This window comes from Homo sapiens, chromosome 18 (genome assembly GCF_000001405.40).
Source record: "Homo sapiens chromosome 18, GRCh38.p14 Primary Assembly".
NCBI classification, from domain to species: Eukaryota; Metazoa; Chordata; class Mammalia; order Primates; family Hominidae; genus Homo; species Homo sapiens.
The window spans coordinates 44,676,084-44,696,488 of record NC_000018.10 but is presented as its reverse complement, the minus strand read 5'-3'; the positions used below and the strand labels follow the sequence as shown (position 1 = coordinate 44,696,488).

The following is a 20,405-nucleotide window of genomic DNA, read 5'->3' as shown; positions in this document are numbered from 1 at the left end:
ACTGGGAATTCTTACTTATTCTGAAGCCTGGTGGAAATGCAAGTTCTCGAGCTCTACTTACTGAATCAGGGCTCCAGAGCTGGGACCCAACACGCCAGCTTTTACCAAGCCCTCTCAGTGGTTCTGATGGCCTAGAGTCAGAACCAGTGCCTTAGACTGTGCCTGGTCTATATGATTACCCCTGTCAAGTTGCTAGATCATAGGTATTATTATTGAGTACATGAGGGTATTTCTCCCTTACAGCAGTATTGTGAGTCTCTTGGGAACAGGCAGGACTTGTGTCGTATTCATCCACAAAATCCTAACACCTAGCACCATGGCCAACACATAATCAACACTCAAGAAATGCTGGATGGCTGAATTAACAAGTGAACAAAGCAACTCAAGCTGGGCTTCCCAGCATCATTTATTCACCTCCCTCTTCTGCTTTGCCCAGGTGCCATGCACATACAGGCCATTGTCATCCTGACTGTTGCTTTCCAAAAGGACAAGGTGGTAGAGATAGGGCCCTTAGTATATTCAACAGGAGTCAAAAGAAATGAATTCCTGGCCTAGTTCTGCCACTTAGGAGCCTTCATAAGCCTCTTTCAGCCTCAGTGTCTCATCAATGAACAGAAAAAAAAAAAAAAGGTGGTTTCCCAGCCTACTTCACTAGCTTATTATTTTTACTTTTTAAAAAAATTTTACTGTATTTCTTGGTAGTAGAACTCCATGCTCCTTATTACAAAATAAACACATGAACAACACGTGCACCTCTCAGGTCTTAAAGGCAAACAATCCCAAACACAGGAAGAGTACTCGGCTTCATTCCTGAACTTTTGCAAACTTCCCCAAGCTCTTCATCCTCAGTCCTCCCTCGGCTCTGGACTCTGCAAATTCCCATACCACAAGGCATTTCTTTCATCTTCACACGTAAAACACACTGGGCTGACCAGATAATTCTCAGGCTAGAACTTTTTGCCTCAAAATTTTGTAGCATGTCTTTCAGCATTTAAACTAATGAAGGGAAAACAGAGGCTGGCCTGATTTGGTTTCCTCTTTAGGCAACTTGCTTTATGTGTTTATAATTGAAGACTTTCTTTTTCATTATGTTAGAATTTTATTAATGACAAAATGAGTGTAGTGTGGAGCTCTCTCCCTTTAATTTTCCTGGAACATAATGAGCCTTTTGGATCTGTAGATGCAGGTTCTTTCTAGTTCAGGAATGTTCCCTTCAATTATTCCTTTGGTAATTTCTTCCATTAAATGGTTCTGGCTTCTTTCGAAGTTTTTCCTGTAATTCTGAGTTTAGAGCTCTCATCTCTGTTCTCCATTTCTATCATTTTCTCTCTCACTGCTTTTCTTTCCTTCTTTTGCCTTGTGGGAGAGCATACCCCAATCTGTTCTCCATAATACCAATTTGATTCTATTTTCCATGCCCCCTTTGCCTTTATTGACTTCACTGTGGATTTTTTTTTAATTCTGCAATTGCACATTTTGTATCCCTGCAATCTTTCTTTACTTTATGCATCCACTTTTCAGCTGATTCTGATGTCTTTTCATCAGCATGCTCCGTCCTTGTTTCTTAATGCTCCTTTTCCATGGGTCATACTTCTTGTCAAAGATGCCAGGTAGCTTTCTGAAACTCTAATGTTGCTGTTGGATTAACTAATTTTCCTGATATTGTTCCTTTTACCTTGTTTTAAGTGTTTCTTCCACCTCAGGAGGGCTTGTGTTGGGTTCTGTTTCTTTGCTCACACTCTGATGAGGAGAGAGCCTGGCCTACAGAGGAAGTACTGGACTACCTTCTACCCATTGTGAAGCCAGTCACATCCTCCTCTTCGAGCTACTCCTCTTACCAGAGACCATATCAAGTTCTAGTGAACAGTAACCAGGGATGCAATGAAGCTAGTGCCTATGGGTTCATAAGAGCCCACTGTGTGTATCTCTCCCCAACTCCACATTCAGTGGCATTAAGTTGGTAGCTTAAAATGCAGCCATGGAGTGCGGTGGCGCATGTCTGTAATCCCAGCACTTTGGGAGGCTGAAGTGGGCAGATCACCTGAGGTCAGGAGTTCGAGACCAGCCTGGCCAACATGGCTAAACCCCATCTCTACTAAAAACACAAAAATTAGTCGGGCGTGGTGGCATGCACCTGTAATCCCAGCTACTCAGGAGGCTGAGGCAGAAGAATCACTTGAACCCAGGAGGCTCAGGTTGCAGAGAGCCGAGATCGCACCACTGCACTCCAGCCTGGGCAAGGGAGCTCAGCCATGGTGGGAGTGTTTACACCATAAGAACGAGCAAACTTTACAAGTCAGTGCTTTTAAAAAATCTGGAAAACAGGGTGTTAAGCATATACTAGAACACCACTGAGAGTAAACATCCATCTACTATTGTTTTGCTGAACTGAGAAAAGTCTTTTCTGTTGGATTCACAAAAACAGCTGAACAGCTAAACTTCACAATATGCTCTATGACAAAGACTCCATGCTCACCTCAGAACTTTACTTGAAGCAACATCTCTGCCCAGAAGTCAATGCCCTTCTTCCACTCCTCCCAGAACTCCCCTTCCCACTCTTGCCCATTTGTCTTCTGAGAGCTATAGTCTTTGAGAATATGCATAATGATGTCAGGGAGGGAAGTCTTTAGCTGGTTTTGTTCAAGCTGCCCATACAGTAGACTTGATGACTGCCTGCTTTTCTGGTTGACAGAAACTGATTAAGAAAGCAAATGGTGTAAAAAGATGGAGTGTGATCCTACTTAATTACAGATGAGGAAGAAATTGTATTTTCAACCTAGACTCATTGGCCTATAGTTATAAGAATCTCTTGTCAGGTTCTGGCAAGAGACTGACTGTCTGACTTTGGCTTTGGGAGTGGTTGATTATTCATCCTTCTTTATGTCTTCTAAGGTATTTTGGTGGGGAGTCACAAGTGACTTCATGGGACTTTGCATGCACCTGGAATCTTCCTCTTGCTCCCCTGGAGTTAGACTTCTTCATTACTCAGGCTGAGGTTAAATGCCTCTTCCCTGAGCATCGCAAACCAGATCATAACTCCCCTTTTTGTGCCTTTGTAGGCCAGAACTTGTCTTTCCTAACATTAATTATATAATTAAATATTTGTGCCATTCTTGGTTTCAAACTCTGCCTTCTCCACTAGATGATAAGCCCTTGAAGGGTAAGACCTGTGCCTATTTGGCTCACCATGGTCACCCCCAGGGCTTGGCACAGTTTCTGATACAGAGAGACACTCCAAATTACTCATTCGGTGAATGTTGAATGAGAGGCCAGACAGACACCACTTGACTCAGCTGCCTATAACTAAGTAATCTTTCCGGAATTCCTTCCAGCTGCAGAAACACCCAGAGTAAATGCTCCACAACACTGGTAAATCTAGCAGGTGACCCAACTCTTACCTAGCTCTCAATCGGCAAGAGCAAGGGCAGCTCTACACCATGGTTCTCTGACCCTGAAGATACATCACCTGTCTATAGCAAAGGACAAAGCTCCTACTCAGTGGTGTTTTTATACTCTGCACTTGTGTGGTAAGTTCCTGATCACATTTTACCTCTTCCAAGCAGCATTTCCAGACTACTTCACCTACCACATGCTCTAGCAGCATCTCGTAAGCTGCAGATCTCCCAAGTCCCACTGATGGGCATTACTGTATATGATTCCCTGATAGGTCCTCTGTTTAGCTGGCCCTTTCTCCTTTCTCTACTTGGTTAACTCTTGTTATCCTGCAAGAATTGGGTCAGATTTCACCTCCTTCATGGAGACTGGCTGGACCCTCCTTTTCTACCTCTTCCTGCATACACATGTGCACAGACACACACACGCACGGTCTTGCTCTCACTTCCCTGGTCATTCTGCTCTCACAAAGCATTTGGCAAGCTCTGTTTCAACATTTTAATTACCTGCCTCTCTCTCCCACTAGACCACAAGCTCCATGAGGACAAGGGCTATATTTTAAATGAGTCTCTGCACAGCTGGAAGCATAGAGAACACTGGGAGTAACTGTCCAACAGTAAGTGTTCAAGCCATGTTTCTCCTTAAAAAGAAGAATGGAAGCAGTTCTGACTTGATGACATAGGTTTAGATTTCTTAGCCTCCCTTTTCCACTTAGTAATTGTGTTCTTAGGAAACATTTTTAATCTTTTCAAGTCTCATTTGGAAATGGGGTAATAATCCTACCTCAAGGATTGTTTCAAGAAGTAAAGATTAAATGAGATAATAATTATGAAAGAACATACTGGGATCACCTTAGTAAGTGTGCAAACTTTTTTGTTACATTTGATTTACTCCCATAGTTGATCACCAAGCTAGCATTTGACTAAGTGCCACCCTCTCTTCTAAGACTCCAAGTCAAGCCCTGAGGGACAGGAGTTGAAGACCAACCTCCTCCATCTTGCTACACAGTGAGAAGCACAGACAACTTGTTTCCTTTGCATCTGCTAACCTGACCATTTAGCTGTTGTTTGATTATTGCTCTTCTCTTGTTTCCAGTTTGTCTCATGGAGGAAATAATACTGGGTACAGTCAGGAATTCCACATTCTAATCCCTCCTCCACCATTTAGAGCTGGTGGCCTTGGGCAAGTTCCTTTTTCTCCCTGAGTCTTCCCATCATTATATGTAGAATTGGGACCAGAGAACATGAGTTCAACCCTGTGGCCCCTTCCAGCTCTGACATTCCCAGGTACTGAGCCTTGTCTCCTCAACCAGAAGCCCTTCAAAGCCAGGGCTGGTACCTTCCACCTTTTTATCAGATTCTGCTGACTCTGCAGCTCAGCCTGGCTGGGCTGGCTGAGCCTAAGACAAAACTAAGCATATGCCGTTAGTCTCTGTACTCAGGGATCTCTATGATAAGGAAAGGAGATGAAACTTCTGAGACCTGAGGTCTGACATACTATCCATTAACCAACAGTTCCAGCTGTAGCTGTAAAAAACAGTGTCTCCTCTGGGAACCAATAACACAACACAACAGCATGACCCTTGTGTCTTTGCTCCCTGGTGAAAAATCTCTACAATCCTGCCTGGGCCAATCAAGTTTGCAGGTTGAGCTGTGGCTTTGATGCGTTACTTGTGCCTGTGTTCCTCTGTGCAGTCAAGGAAAAGTGTTCTCTTGTAGTGAAAGGGTTGGGGGGCGGGGGGTGGTTAAACATTACCACTAACTTGTGCTGAGCTCTTTACAGTCATTATCAATTTAATTCACACAACAGCACTGTGATGCAGAAGATCTTGTCCTCATTTTACAGACCTGGAAATTAAGGTCCAGAAAGGTTAATGATTTACTCAAGAGCACACACTTTCTGTGCCAGATTCACAATCAAATCGAGGTATATATGATTACAAAGCCTCTTAGTTTGACATCATGAGGTATCTAAAACACAAAGTGATGCCAACTTTTGACCAAAAGTTGTTAGTTGCTTCTACATACATGAGTTCTAAAACCAGTGTGCCATCTGAATTGCCACGTCACTTAAACTCTCTTGGGCATCAGTTTTCTCATCTGCCTTTTCTAATTCTCCTCACAGAATCTTGCAGGAAAAAAAGGTAAATAATATGTGTAGCACAATACCAAAATAGGTTAAATACAGTAGATTTGAAAGAAGTAATTGTGACCATAATATTTCCTGTCCAAGCAGGGAGGAGGAATTCACATCGTAAAGAAAATAATCTGAATTGTTAACATACATCAGGTATTCTCTAAGTTTATTTACGTTTTTCATCTGATTTAAGTTTATTATACTATTTAACCCTGATTTACTAACTGATTTTAACCCAGAGACACATCCATTTTACAGATAAGAAAATTAAAGTTGAGGGATTTGTTGAAATCACAGGGGCAGTTGTGTCTGACTCCAAATGTTATTTGAACCATAGAGCCACCAGTCTTCAAATATTCTGTATTAGTGGTCCCTGAAAACTCTGGTCCTCCACCACACCATTTATAAATTGAGGAAGGAATTGGTAGACATACTTGGAGGCAATGAGGATAAACTGAACCATCTAACAGATAATAATAAAGTCTTTCAAAGTTCTCTTTCACCTCACTACCTGTTCAGTTTTAATTCAAATTCCTTGACTTCTCAACCGTCTGATTAAGCCATTGCTTTGTTCATTGTCATTTGAACATAAAGTGTAATCTGGCACGTATATGTTTGTGCTTCTGCTGCAAAGGAGATGCTAAGCATACCAGAGAACTAAACAAATATCAGCTCCACTTCCCTTTCTCTGTGATATATCTCCTCTAGCTACCTTGTACTGTCATTAAACATTGTCTTGTTACTGAATCTTGTTTATTTCCTTCTCCAATTATACATTAAACACTTGGAAATAAGTACCAGTATCACAAGAGTTTTATGTTCCCCAGAGCGGCCCATCCCCATTCCAAATGCTTATATACAATTTCATTTCTTGTTCTAAAGATACCTCTTTTGAACCCCATGCTGAAGAGCTGGTAGCGGACAGGACCTAGCAGCAGGAGGCAGAGTCAGCTGTCAGCGTTCTTTCATGTGTGCTATGTGTGGAAGTCTCTGACAGGCACACCCACCTGCTCCCCAAGACTGCTCTCCCTGCACTTGGAAAGCTGTGGGCATGCCTCCCCATTTCAGCTTAGGGGAGATGAATCCTTGGCCTGTTTCCTACAGGACACCATCCCATCTGTCTTGCTGCCTTACACTCCACAGAGCCCTATGCTGAACTGTTCTCCTTTCTCCCTCTACATTCCCAAATGGATGATCTTCCCTGCTGCTCCATACCTACCCAAGACTATTCCATTGTCAAGGACTCAGCTCAAGTTCCACCTACTCCTCAAAGCTTTCTCTGATCTGACTAACCCTTGGAGACACTAAACCCCTCGGGCTCCCACTACAATTCAGCACTTAGACCTAAATGGCTGGCTGCTGCTACTCCTCCCCTGGTTTTCATGGGCTCTTAGAGCATCTTTCACTCCATCTCTTGGGATCCCCATGGCACCCATCAGAGTCTGGTCACAATCAATAATAATGTCAATGAACAAACCAATTTTTGCTAATTCAGAGAGTTGGAAGGTTGATTAGTTTGAATTATAACAGGCACATTGAGTCTGACATAGAGGGCCCTGGGTTTTATCCTTCTCACTGTGGACAGAAGACCTCGGACCACAAAGGTGTCTGCTATGGGGGTGTCTGCCCCTCAATGTCAGCCTTCTGACCTTCATCTTCAGGGCCATGCTGCTTCTGCCAGATGCAGTACATGTTCGAAATAAGCATTTGTTTCCTTGAGGCAATTCTCAATTCGCATTTGAACTCTGTCCCACTGCTGCCCCTATGCCAAAGCTGTTCTACCCGCCAAGAATGTCCCTTTGTTCTACATCTTCCATCAAATCCTAAACACATACTCTTTGAAATCTTCCCTGACTATACCCTAGGCCTGATCACACAAATAGCAAAATTCCATTTGGGATCATGTTCCAACTTTGGCTGCAGAAGAATGCTTTCCATTTCAGCAAAGCACGTATCTGTAGATACACTGCCCACTCTCCCAGGGCAAAAGCCACATCTCAGAGCAGGCCTTTCCCAAGCAAGTGTACCAGGCACAATGGCTCACACAATCTGCAATGCTGATATTTTAATAAATATTTGTGGATCAAAACACCAGTCGTAATAGAGCTCTAAAGTATAACGAGTAGAAAGGTTCACAGAGATTTCACATCAAATCATCCCTTTTAGTCACTACTATTAATCAATACTTTTTTAAAAACCAAGGTCTTGGCCAGGCGCGGTGGCTCATGCCTGTAATCCCAGCACTTTGGGAGGCCGAGGCAGGCGGATCATGAGGTCAGGAGTTCGAGACGCAGCCAGGCCAACATGGTGAAACCCCGTCTCTACAACAAATATAAAAAATTAGCTGGGCATGGTGGCGGGTGACTATAATCCCAACTACTTGGGAGGCTGAGGCAGGAGAATTGCTTGAACCCAGGAGGTGGAGGTTGCAGTGAGCAGAGATCGTGACAGTACAAGACTTCATCTCAAAAAAAAAAAAAAAATCAAAGGTCTCATTGCTCAAATAACAATAGGTCACAGAAAGAGACACCAACAACTGTACAGGACTTGCCACGCAGATTTCATTAGTCTGCTACAAGCACATTGGTGCTCCCACTGCTTCTGATGGGCTACTAAGTTGGTTCCATCAAATTCAGCTTCCCCATCTCAACCTTTCTCCAAGCCACAAATTCAAACTCCAAGAAGCTCCTTTCCACTGACAGAACTGAAAATCATTGGCAGATAAAAGGAATAATGAAGAAATTGCTGTTTACTAAATTTGGCTAACAATATTGCATGCTCCTTTTTCATCCCAAATCCTTTACTAGATCCTGGGTTAAAAGCAATTGCAGCATTTCAGTGGCTTAAAGAGGCTTCCTCTTCCTAAATATCCAACCAGTATGCTCCCAGGTGCTTCATCAATCCCACAGAACTTTTACAGCACCTTAGGCCAAAGCCCAATTTCCTTGATCCTACTCCAACCCAAATCAAAGGCTCTGGTTTTGCAGACTGTGGGTCACCGTATCTGATCTCAGAATGCACACAAACCAACCCATTAGCTATTATTGAACACAGGCTGCAATGTGGCTGGGCAGACCAGGTGCTATGGGGATGGAGAGGACACCTCAGGAACCCAGGCATGGCCCTAGACTTCATGATCTTTAGAATCTACATGGAGAAATGACATCCAGCCCACTAGATCCATGACATGAGTGAAGTATCCATAGCAGGGTTTCCAGATGCCACCTGACAGGAAGCAGCAGCAAAGCTCAACTACAGAATACATTCTGGACTTCCTAGAAACTGTCTTTGTCTGTTCCATCTCCCTTGATTCAAGTCAGTTATTTTACCAAAGAGAACCAATTCAAAACAGATGTGGGTAATTTAATCCCTTTCTTCCTTCCACATTACTCTTAGTGGTATGTCCTCACATTCAGCTCACCATTGCCTCCTCTCCCCTTCCCTGTCCTCCAAGACTGACTCCACTGTTCTAATAAGTGCTCCCCCCAATTCTATTTACCCCAGGGCACCACCTTCCCTTTCTGTAACTCTTTCAACCCATCAAACATTTAGCAAAGGGCATTAATCCTCAGTGGGATTGGTTTGGACAGTTGTTGGCGGCGCCATTAAAGGGGTTTGAGGAGCTCTGACCTTTAAGAAATCCTTAACATTCCTAGGACACCTCTAGCTATAGAATCACAGAATTTTAGAAGGGACACTCTATACCACTCCAAACTTTTTTACTGTACAACAGTAGAAAGGCAATGTAGCTTGTCCCACATCATATGCTAATAGATGTGAGCCCAGGCTGCTTTCTGCCTCAGCCTTCTTGACCTCTTAGGCCAACTAGTTGCACCCGGCCTCCTCAGCCTTCTCTGTTTTCCACTGTGGCCAGGCTCACTCCATCACTGAAGAGCGGAAAAGCACTTGGACTTCAGCAACAAAGATGACTGTATGGTTAAGTGCCAAAATGAGCAAGATGGACAAAAAATACAATTGGAATTTTCAGAGAAAGTCAAGGGCTATGTGTGTTAGAGTCACAATGAGACTCCAGTAGGCACTATTATTATTAACAAATATTTGATGATTGAATGAGTGAATCGGTGACTGAAAGGATGCACATGTGGTAAAATATGCTTAACTCTTAAACTTTAAGGGAGAAACTTTTGGGTGATTACCCCCGAAAGGTAGCCAAAAATATAAAAAGCAATTATTATTGGCTTAAAGTAGTTATTATTCACACTGTCTAAGGGGCCCTCACTGTGTTGCTTCATAATGCAGAGTGTTAATACACCTTAAACAACATTGACTTTCAATATTCTATCTCTTCATAAATGCTGTGATTCATTCAGGAAACAAAAAATCATTCATAAATAAGGTTCAGGGCTGTGTGGGAAAACTTCTCCCCTTTTTCAAGGGCTCAGAGCTTGGAGGGGGTAAGTGATAACAAACAGCAAGGCAGCATAAGTGGGGTGCCTTGCTCTGGGAACTGGGGATGAGGAGCTGAGAGCTGGGAAGAAGGAACTAGTTAGCTCCCACAGAGGAGGCTGGGTGCAACTAGCTGGCCACCTGGAGGTGACAACACAGAGACAGCTGAGGTGTGGAGGCAGGAAGATGTTCAGAATGTCCAGAGTCAGTGAAGAAACCAGTCTGACAACACAGCCTGGGGCATATTGCATAAAATTGGGGTTCACTCGAGAACACTGCAAGGTGCCTGCTGCAGGCTGCCAGGCAGGGCAAACCAGCTCTCATGAGAAAGGGTAAAAGGAGGGACACAGAAGAGTCAGGGAACAAATGAGCTGTGAAGAACTTTCCTGATTCTGGAGAACTTACTGGATTTGCTGGGACAGCGGCAACGCTGCTATTAGTTCTTTTCTTTAGAGGGGCTAGAAATTCTGTCCTGAATGCCATTGCTTAAGTATTGTGGTTTCTTGATGGAGAACCTCCCCCTCATTCTCTCCACTTCGCCTCCCCTCCCTGTGTGTTTGCACATCTTTTTCCTTTTTTCTTGCTGATCCTTAACTCAAAGAGCATTTCCTGAGCACTGGGACATCTTTGAGTCCAACTGGATACCACCTGAGACTTTGAGCCTCAAAAAGCACATGGCATAGTAGGCATCTAATAATTCAATATATACAGTTATATGGACATCGGTTGAATTATTAGAACACGAGGAGCCCTTGTGGGCATTTCTGATCATTCCAAGGGGTTATTAATTGCTGGGCTATGGCAACAATAATCCCAGGCACCAGTTTCCAGGAGGCAGCATGGAAATCCTCCCAGAGTTCAATTACAGAAATTAGCTGGTATTATTTAATCCTCATAACCCCCGTGAAGTAGGCAGGGTAAGCATCTTTATCTTTATTTTACTGATTAGGTTCCGGAGGCTCAGAGAGGTTAACTGACTTGCCAGGGGTCATTTAACTGGGAAGTACAGGGACACGATCCAAAGAGGATCTTGTCACTTCAGATGTGAGGCTCTTCACACTTTGCCACAGCCGTCTGGCCCCAGGTTGGCCACCAACTTGTGTCATTTCAGGCAACCCAGTGTATCAGTTGCCTCATCCTCTAAACGGAGATAAAATGCTTATCTGGCCTTCCTCCTTAGGAGAATCAAGGGGGCGGAAGCCATATAAAGATATTTTTGAAAAGAACAAAATGCCATGCATATGAAAGGGGGTATTTTTGGTGGGAAAAGATAAGTTGGACCAAGGAAACATTTTTCCAAGCTAACAAAGTTCTAAAACTCTTATCTGCTCACCATTCATCCCCTATTCCTCCTCAGCACTTGGAGTGGCACAGCCTCTGCCTACCTGAGGGTCAGCTCAGCTGGCTTTGCCTACACTTGTTCTACCTGGGTCTGCTGATCATTAACCATCATGGGCTCCTGGGAGGGGGTGGCAGCTACCTCCCAGAGGATCCTATGGACTTCAGGGCTGCTCACATTCTTTACCTGGTATCATTTGCTATGAACAGGGTAGGAAGTCAACTGCTGGTTTCTAAGCTAACGGCCATTAAAAAATAATGGTTCCTCGGTCGGGCGCGGTGGCCCACACCTGTAATCCCACCACTTTGGGAGGCTGAGACAGGTGGATCACCTGATGTCCGGAGTTCAAGAGCAGCCTGGCCAACATGGTGAAACCCCGTCTCTACTAAAAATACAAAAATTAGCCAGGCATGGTGGTGGGTGCCTGTAATCCCAGCTATTTGGGAGGCTGAGGCAGGAGAATCACTTGAACCCAGGAGGCAGAGGTTGCAGTGAGCCAAGATCACGCCACTGCACTCCAGCCTGGGCAACAAGAGCGAGACTCTGTCACAAAAAATTAATTAATTAATTATTTAATGGTTCTTCAACCTTAGATGGTACCCTCTAATGGGCAAAAAAAAAAAAAAAACCTTCTAAAAACAGCTGTTCTGGACTGAACCTACGAAACTTCTAAATCAGAACAGTAAGGACCAGAAGCTTCAACTCAGTGATCTACAATTACAGTCCTCCAAAACCTTCTCCAGCCCCAGTGTGATGTATCTCAGGGGGGCATCAAAATCTAATAGAAAGTTCGGTAAAAAGGGAAAACGAAAACTCAGAGCTAAGCAAAAATGTAGATTGGCATCATCTTTCTGCATTCACGAATTATAGTCTGTGGACATCCTGGTGTTTTCTTTCCTGCACTTTTCAGGTATATGGCAGGCCAAAGTATGTGCAACTTCATGAAGAGTTTGTAAAACACCTGGGTTGCCTTTAAAAACCACTCTAAAAGAAGCCCAAACTTATGGCCCAAAACATTTTGGGAAACTCACTAGGTTTCAACATATGCCACAGGATAGGAATGGAATTGGATTGTTTTGCTCCCTTCACAGGAACCCCAGGACCAGACAAAATGATGTGCAGCAAGACCTCTGTGAGGCTTCCTTTCTTCAACCCAGTGCTGCTAACCCTCCAGGGCAGCCTCCTGTGCTCCCACCACCAGCCTCTGGTAGGACTCTCACATACACTGAGTCCCTGAACAAACTCAATAACACCATCCCATTTTTAAAGCACTGCAACTCCTCCTTACAATACTAATGTGTTCATAATAATTTGCCCCATTCTTCTGGCAGGAGCAAAACTGAAGCAACTTGAAATGCCATCAGCAAAAAGTTATTTATTTCCCATTCCTGAGCATCAGAGAAAACAGGGTTTCATTGGCTGGATCTGCCTTCAATAGCTTTCTGGTTTCAATTTAAACTTCAAGTCTCCAAGGAAAAAACTGGCATTCTGGGAGGTCCAGGCCCAGCCAAGTTTCAGTGTCTCCACAGGAACCCAGAAAGGATGCCCCATCCAGCTAGCTATTTCTCATCTGCTTCCTTTTGCATACTATATAGAAGCTTTGGAGCAGAGATTGAAGTACAACTAAAAATAATGACCACATTGAGAGAACTCTCCTCTCCTAGAGGTACACTTTTGTGCCAGACAAGTATCGATTCATCCCCTAGAGGAATTCAAAGTTAACAGGAGAAATGGAATCCAGGGGAAAGTACCTACCTATTTATTTCTTCTTCAGCAAAATCCTGCCTCCTGCCTCTCCCCACTCACCATTTTCAACTAAATCCTAAAACACTCCCAAGCACTGTTTCCTTTTTCCCCAACCCTCATTTAGGTCAGGTGATTTACAAAGTAGCTCACTCTGAGCAAGGCAAGTCCATGACCAGAAGCCCTTATGGCAGCAGGGGCTGTTGGGTTAACTTAAAGATACCTCTAGGTTCCCCTGTGTGATGTCCAAAACTGGGCCTTCCAGCAGAGCCTTCCTATGTAACATTCTGATGCTAACATACAAAAGATCAAATTACAGCCCTTCACTTGCCTAGCCCTTTCATGAACATATAAGGCAGTTGATATTTTCTCCCAAGCTAGAAGTGGCCCCCTTCTTAACCGACACTACTGCCTCTCAGACACTCCACCTTATGTTCACTGCAAGCCATCCCCTCCCCCACCTCCAGTTTGTTTATTCCAGAGATACATCTATTTTCCCAGCTAAGAGAGACGAGTCCCTTTCCCTCCTCTGGCTCCCGGTGGTGCATTCGCTCACCACCTCCTCCCCCAGCTCAGCTCAGGTTACTATAGTGGCTAGCAACTCCCACAGCCCAGGTCTAACACCAACTCAACTTCCCAAGACCAATAGTTTGTTTTGGTTTTGGTTTTGTCCCCTTAACGGGGGAGGAGAAATCGTGTGCCAAGCAACACTCTGGGTACCTGGTCTCCATATCTTTGGGGGCTACATTCCCTGCCGTTTGCAAATACTCTGTTTAACCACACTTGATTTCTTCCTCCTCTTCCGACTTTCCCCCAAACACTCTGTCTTAATACCCTTTTCTGGGAACAGGCAATGAGACTAAGCACAGGGGAAAACACAGCACCTCACCTTCACTCTGACACCTGGGAATCCCTCGTCAGAGCAAAAGAGCTCACGCCTCCCTCAGGGAGTTTAAGGATGGTAGAAGCCAGAGAAATCAGAAAAAAAGGGAGGGAGTGACCTGGGATGGTAAACTAGCTACATCTTAAAGTGCTACAAACTTTCTCCTCCCTCACACGCCCCTGTCTGGTTGGCTCCGCCTTCCCATCCCAGCTGGGGTGTGCAAAGGAAACTCTCCCCGGAATGCCCAGGTCTGGTCCAGTGTTGAAGATGTGGCCTGCACACAACACCGCCCTTCCTCTCCAAATACCTCTTCTCTACCCCATCCCCTTTCTCCCACGACACACACATGCTTTGCACGTGAAGATGAGTTTGGATGGGGCACAGGAGATATACCTATTTACTAAAGGAGGGTAAGAGATGGTGCCAAATCGGCAGATAGTTTTGGTGACAGTACAGAGACTTCAAGAAATTAGTTTTTAGTATAAATCTACAGAAAAAGAAGAAAAACAGGATGAAGAGTGAAGGAATGAAAAGAAAAAGAAGGAAAAAGATGTAAGAGAAAAACAATCAACGCCAGTGGACTCCAACTAAACTTTAAGGGGAAAGGTGTGGATAGTTGGCAGGAGGTGGGGGGAGTGTAGGGGCTGGAAGGGAAAGGTATCTGCTGTAGAATTCCAGAATAAACTGCCCTTTTGGAGGAGAGTTTCTGCAGGGATAAAGAGACACACAAATTGCCCTTTTAGCGTTAGATGTCAACCGTGAGATTATCAGGACAGTTTATTTGAAACGGAAACGAATCGGAAATCCTTCCCACAACAGTCCTTTTAGACAGATACACACCCTGAGAATCCAACACAGACACACATAAAGAATAAATGCAGCATTAGGGGGCAATAAGAACTCCCCTTCCACACTCTCAATACCTCTAGCCTCATCTATTTCCAATTGCACAACTTTCAATCTCCAATGAAAATATTTCCAGTTGGATCCGATTTCAGACTTGTAGTAAGCGGTCTGGATGGGGGGGCGGGGGGAATAGGTGCTGTACTGTGCAGGGGAGGGGGGCTGGAAGACAGTATTTCGGCAGTTAACTTATTTTTTTAGAACCAGCATGCTCTACCGATCAGAAATTGCTATTACCCAACAATGCTTCCATCACAAACAGACACTGAAAACAGCATCCCCGTTATCACCATCTTGCCAAAGATCTGCCCGGTCCAGTTTACCTGACTTTGTCCCTGCGGAACTTCTCAGACAGTATTTCGGTCAAAGAGATAATGGTTTGGAAGACAAAAACAATAAATCGATACCGAAGGGTTCCCTTTCCGGAGTGATTTCCCACTGGAAACCACCGAACGGGGAAGCCTGCCGTTCATTCCCAAGCCCACGGCTCCTCTAGAAACGCACACAATGCGTGCTTTCAAAAAGGCATTCGTCTGCTTTTAAGGGAATTCCTATCTTTTCAGAGTCCCAAAACCAGAGAGCACAAGAAAGAGACTCAAATCCATTGATTAAGATTTTTAAGAAAAAGACTAACACACAGGCACAACACAAGCACACACCAACCTTCGCCGGCTGGACCACTTCTTGCCTGTTCTTCTTTCTATTAACGACACGTTAGATTCTGATACATTCCCCCCCCAAAAAAATCCAACTAGGTTACAATGTAGCTCTCTAGCTCCACTTAACCTGCAAGTTACAAAGAGAGAAAAAAAAAATCCTGCCTTCCCACCCCTTTCCTTACCCCCTCCCCCTCCCGAGTCCACTCCACCAACGCCAAACCCGCCAGCCCCGCCAGCCGGCTGCAGGACCGAGGGAGGGTGCAAAAGGCGGGGGGCGGAGGGGGGGTAGATCAGATTAGGCGAAACTCAATAAGCTCCCAGCCCTCCAGCCCAAAGCTTCCACCATCGCCGCCACCAACGAGCCACTCCAATTGAGCCAGCATCGCCGCCCACCCGCCGGCCCGCCGGAATCGCGCCCATCTCCTGCAACCTCGCCCGGACCGGCATCCCGCCCCCTCGGCCCGGTCTCCCCCTTCCCGCCGGGTGCAAAGTCAAAGACCCAGCAAGGCGACGTGAACTTTTGCATGCAGGGCACACACGTCGCCCCCGGTTCCGGGAGTGCGGGGGCCCGCGGCGCGGAGGGAGGCTGGGCGCCCGGGCTCCCGGGCCAAGGTCGCCGCGCGTGCTCACCCATGTCCCGGCGGCTCCGGCTCCGCTGGCCCCGGCGCTCGCTCAGATCCCGGCTCCCGTCGCTCGCCCGAGCCCCCAAAGGTGCTGCTGCGGCAACTCCATGGCGATGAGCATCTGTCAAACGGCGAGCCGCGAGCTGGCCGCCCTAGCTCGGGGGGCGCCGGGGCCCCCGGGCGCGCGGAGGCGGCGGCGAGCGGCGGGCGCCCCGGCCGGCCCCGCGCTTCCCGCCCGACTCTGCCGCCTCCGCCGCGCCACCGATTTATGGAGAGAGATATCAAGGGGGAAAATGGCGTCTCCGGAGCCCGAGGAGTCCTGGAGTAATCACATTCACACACACACGCCCGCACGCACACACACTCGCACACACTGGCACACAGGCGCGCGGCGAGCCCTGCTAATTTTAGCAGGAGCCAAAAAAAATTTTATATATATATATATATATATATATATATATATATCCCCGTCTCTCCGATCAATGCTTTTTCTTTTTTTGCTTTTTTTTTTTTTTTTTTTTTTTTTTTTGCTTTTCTTCAAAGGATGGGTTGGAGCGTTAAAAAATGTTGGTGGGTTTGGGCTCGCAGGAGGCGGCGCGCGGAGGGCGAGGGCGCTTTTGCTGAGCTGTGCAGTTCGGTCCGCTGAGCCCGGCGGCCCTGCCCGCCCGCTCGTCCGCCCGCGGTCGCTAGTGTTGCCGCCGCCGCCGCCGCCGCCGCCGCTGCTGCTCCATGGCCGCGCCCGCCCCGCGCCCCCGCCGCGTCCCGTCGCCGCCCGCCCGCGTCCCCGGTGAGCGCTGGAGTGGGGTCGGGCCCGTGTGCCTGCCTCCCGCGCCCTCTCCGAATCCCGGACTCCTAGTGAAAGGAAGGGGGAGGGCGCGGGCGCGGAAGGGAGGTGGATCGGAGCGGCAGCGCGGCCCAGCCGAACGGGTACCGACCGTCACCCCGCGATCTTCCTCGCAGGGGGCGCCGGCGCCCAAGCTGCTCGCCCGGAGGGCCCAGAGCCGCTTCCCAGACCAGAGCCGGGGGAGGCGCAGCCAGTAGCGAGCCCTGAGCGACCTCTCTCCCCACTCGCCCCCCTGCCCCAGTGAATTTCTGTCAGTTGAAGGGAGCGGGGCTCTTGCCCGGGGAAAAGGAAAACAGTTCGTGGCCTGGGATCTGGGACCCCTTGCCGCCCCCAGCGCCCCTCCCGCTCCCCGGCGCCCTTGCGGCCCAGTGGCTCCTGCGCGCCGGAGTCCGCCGCGAAGACTGAGCGGCCGCGGGGATCGCCGCGGGCTCCGCGCGTATTCCTGGGCTCAACACTGCCACTATCTGACACAACAGGAGCAGTGTCGGGGGGGTACTGCGCGCCCAGACGTGAGCTGTGATAGGCTCTCGAAACTGGGCGCATTTTTTTTTTAACCTGGTAATTATATTTCACTTTCAGGGTTTTTTTAAATTATTATTATTATTTTATTGTTGTTGTTAAGCGACTTGTATGCATTCAGATCTCATGTGCATTTTCTCGTTATTCAAGAGAATTGGACACTTGATGAAGGGAAGGACACGGAGAGATGACAAACGCAGACTGGCATGCAGTTGTTTTCAGGGTGGGAAGAACAAAGTGGAATGTCTTCAGTTCTTACAAAATATGGTGGCATTTGTAATCTCTGAGTTTTTGTATTTGGCCTACAAAGGGGGTCTTTTCAGGGAAACACGAATGGAACCCTTCAGAGACATGTCTACATTGTAAAACAATATAGGATAGATACGGATTCGGGAAGGTCTGCAAATGGTTCCGCTCAAAGAACTTGGGGTAAAGTTGACCGAGGACTCGGATTCTGAGAGGACTCCTATCACGTTCTTCATGAGAGTTTTAGGCTATTTGGACTGAGGAATGATTTGGAGGTACGTCGGGGGCATTCCCTCACTGAGGCCATCAGTGGCTGCCTCCCTGCATTGGCTGCTGGTTTGAGTTCCTTCACAGAACTTCTTCGTCAAGTTTTTCATAGGAACGCTGCAGTGAAGTGGAGTGAAAGAGACTGGGGATTGAAGGGTGAACCCCTTCCAGCCCCAATCCCATCCCGATTCCTGTCTGGATGCAGATTCAGTCTGACTCAGAACGGATAGTTCACCCTTTTACTGATCCAAGTGCTCTGTCCTCTTTTTTTCAGAGGAATGTTCTGACTGGCTACAAACTTTTCTTCTGTCACTGCAGGACCTCCCGTGGAGCAATTTTCGATAGGTCTTCTACTATGCTTTTTTACCGCGTCATTGTTATTGCTGAGAAAATAATGCTTAGTTAGGAAAAAAAATAGCAGAGCATATGAGCTGATGATAGAAGTAGAGATCAAGGCACAGAATACAATATCAAAACAACTATTCTCTGTAATCAAATGACCTTTCTCATTTGCTTGTACACCCAGATTTCTGAAATCCTACACCAAAGTCCACAGAGAACTAAGATAGCATGTGGCCTATTCCCCGCGCTTTTCCAGTGGAGAAAGTAGCCCCAGAAATCAGAAGGGTTTGTCCACAAGCATATGGCTGTCTGATGTCATCCAAACCAGAACTAAAGCCTATTGCCCTAGTCGTTTCCCTTCTATAACCTAGGCGTATTTACAGAGTCTTCCTTCCTGTGGTGTTGTGTGGATTAGAAAAGTAGCTAAGAAAAGCACATACCTTATTAAAATTCACTGCAATAGATGATAAGTCTGTAGAATTATAGTGCAGTAGAAGTTTACCTGTGAGATCATCTATTAGAATCCCATCTTTTTAAAACTGAGGAAACGATGCACTACCCCAAGCCACTAAGTTAATTCAAAGCCAGGAATAGATGCTATGTTCCTTGACTTCTTATCCAACGTTCCTTCCTTGTATGTAGCCCATCTCTGAATCATGAGAGGGGAGAGGAGAGAAAGGAAAGGAGGGATATTCTCACTCTCTTACATATATATGAAAAAATATATATGCCTCTGTGTGTGTGTGTGTGTGTGTGTGTGTACACACACCCATAATAATGTTTCAGTGAACAACAGACCACATATATTACTGTGATCCCATATAATATAATACTGTATTTTTGCTGTACATTTTCTGTGTTTAGATACACAAATACTTACCATTGTGTTACATTTGCCCACAGTATTTAGTACAGTAATATTCTGTACAGGTTTGCAGCCTAGAAGCAATAGGCTACCCCATATAGCCTGAGTGTGCAGTAGCCTATATCATCTAGATTTGTGTAAGTGCACTCCATGATGTTTGCACAAAGTCGCCTACTGATGTATTTCTCAGAACACCTCCCCATAAGCTAATTGACGCATGATTGGAGATATATATATATATATATATATATACACACACACATATAAATATATATACATATGTAAAATAGATACAATAAATATTTTATACACATTAATATTTTTGGTATATAATAATATATTACAAATATAAAAATTTTAATATATGATAATAAAGGATTTCTAAAAACTAAACCCCCATCCCTAAACTGTACATCTGTTAATAGAATGGGACCTATATTCAAATCCTAGGTGAATGTCACAGGAATTCTTCTCATTTTCTTTCTCAATTAGACCACTTTGTGATCGTCTGAGAAACAAACCTTGACACACAGAAAGTCTGAACTTGATCTAGCCTGAAAATAGAGTCAGGCAATTTTAAGATACCCATTTCCAGGGCCCAGGAGCCCTTGAAGAAATCAAAAGGCCATCCGAGCACTTGATGAGAATGCACAGGACATACATCTTTTAGTCTCACACAGTCTCCAGTATCAGAATCATGCGGGCACTCAGCAAATATTTATGGAGCATGGTGATGTGCCAGATACATTAGTAGCAACTGGAGATACAAATGTGACCAAGACATAGTCCCCATCCTCACAGAATTCATGACCTAGTGGGAAAGACTGACATGCGAAGCTCTAACTACAACGAATGCACAAAAATATCAGGAAGAAGAGGCTTACAAAGTGTGTGGAGTACAGATGCTGAAGTGGTGGGAGGAGAGTGGGGTCTGAAATCATGTCTTTTTAAAATTGCTGCACATTTATTTTCTATGTGTATTTAACATACACTTTTCATTTTCCCCTTTGCACACACATGTATTTTTTTCCATTACCTGTTTTCCAACCAAATATAAAACTTATCAGGACTAGGCTGTGCCTTGCATGGACAATGTCAATAAATGTAGTTGAGAATAATTGTTCCTCTGATATCACCAAATATCTGAATTGCTGCCAACTGGGATATAGCTCTGTGTTCTGGGCATCCATGTGCCTAACCTGTAAAATGACCATAATGATAACTCCTTTTTGTCCA

The 20,405-nt window shown here is 45.6% G+C and overlaps 1 protein-coding gene and 1 long non-coding RNA gene across 15 annotated transcripts in view, besides 6 other annotated features; one reads left to right on the top strand and one right to left on the bottom strand.

Annotated features, from left to right (window-relative positions):
* The window catches only part of SETBP1 (SET binding protein 1), a 388,438-nt gene extending 372,022 nt beyond the window's left edge, over positions 1–16,416 (bottom strand). For 7 of the 14 annotated variants that reach the window (XM_047437479.1, XM_047437480.1, XM_047437481.1 and 4 more), the window contains exon 1: positions 15,468–15,601. The gene's annotated coding sequence lies outside the window, so the exon portion shown is untranslated. Of the gene's footprint in view, positions 1–15,127; positions 15,446–15,467; positions 15,602–16,093 lie in introns of those variants that run through there. The other 7 variants (XM_024451149.2, XM_024451156.2, NM_001379141.1 and 4 more) reach the window with 2 other exon arrangements.
* Positions 13,466–13,555: an enhancer, noted in NCBI's record as "active region_13252". NCBI's record gives its function as "activates an Ori minimal core promoter by ATAC-STARR-seq in GM12878 lymphoblastoid cells {active_cell/tissue: GM12878}" and the evidence as "EXISTENCE:reporter gene assay evidence [ECO:0000049][PMID:35858748]".
* Positions 13,606–13,675: an enhancer, noted in NCBI's record as "active region_13251". NCBI's record gives its function as "activates an Ori minimal core promoter by ATAC-STARR-seq in GM12878 lymphoblastoid cells {active_cell/tissue: GM12878}" and the evidence as "EXISTENCE:reporter gene assay evidence [ECO:0000049][PMID:35858748]".
* Positions 13,786–13,855: an enhancer, noted in NCBI's record as "active region_13250". NCBI's record gives its function as "activates an Ori minimal core promoter by ATAC-STARR-seq in GM12878 lymphoblastoid cells {active_cell/tissue: GM12878}" and the evidence as "EXISTENCE:reporter gene assay evidence [ECO:0000049][PMID:35858748]".
* Positions 15,727–15,776: a silencer, noted in NCBI's record as "silent region_9413". NCBI's record gives its function as "represses an Ori minimal core promoter by ATAC-STARR-seq in GM12878 lymphoblastoid cells {active_cell/tissue: GM12878}" and the evidence as "EXISTENCE:reporter gene assay evidence [ECO:0000049][PMID:35858748]".
* Positions 15,917–16,166: a silencer, noted in NCBI's record as "silent region_9412". NCBI's record gives its function as "represses an Ori minimal core promoter by ATAC-STARR-seq in GM12878 lymphoblastoid cells {active_cell/tissue: GM12878}" and the evidence as "EXISTENCE:reporter gene assay evidence [ECO:0000049][PMID:35858748]".
* On the top strand, positions 16,617–19,558 carry SETBP1-DT (SETBP1 divergent transcript). The gene is made up of 2 exons (NR_187430.2): positions 16,617–16,873; positions 17,600–19,558. It is a non-coding gene; the product is annotated as an SETBP1 divergent transcript (long non-coding RNA).
* Positions 16,837–17,476: a silencer, noted in NCBI's record as "silent region_9411". NCBI's record gives its function as "represses an Ori minimal core promoter by ATAC-STARR-seq in GM12878 lymphoblastoid cells {active_cell/tissue: GM12878}" and the evidence as "EXISTENCE:reporter gene assay evidence [ECO:0000049][PMID:35858748]".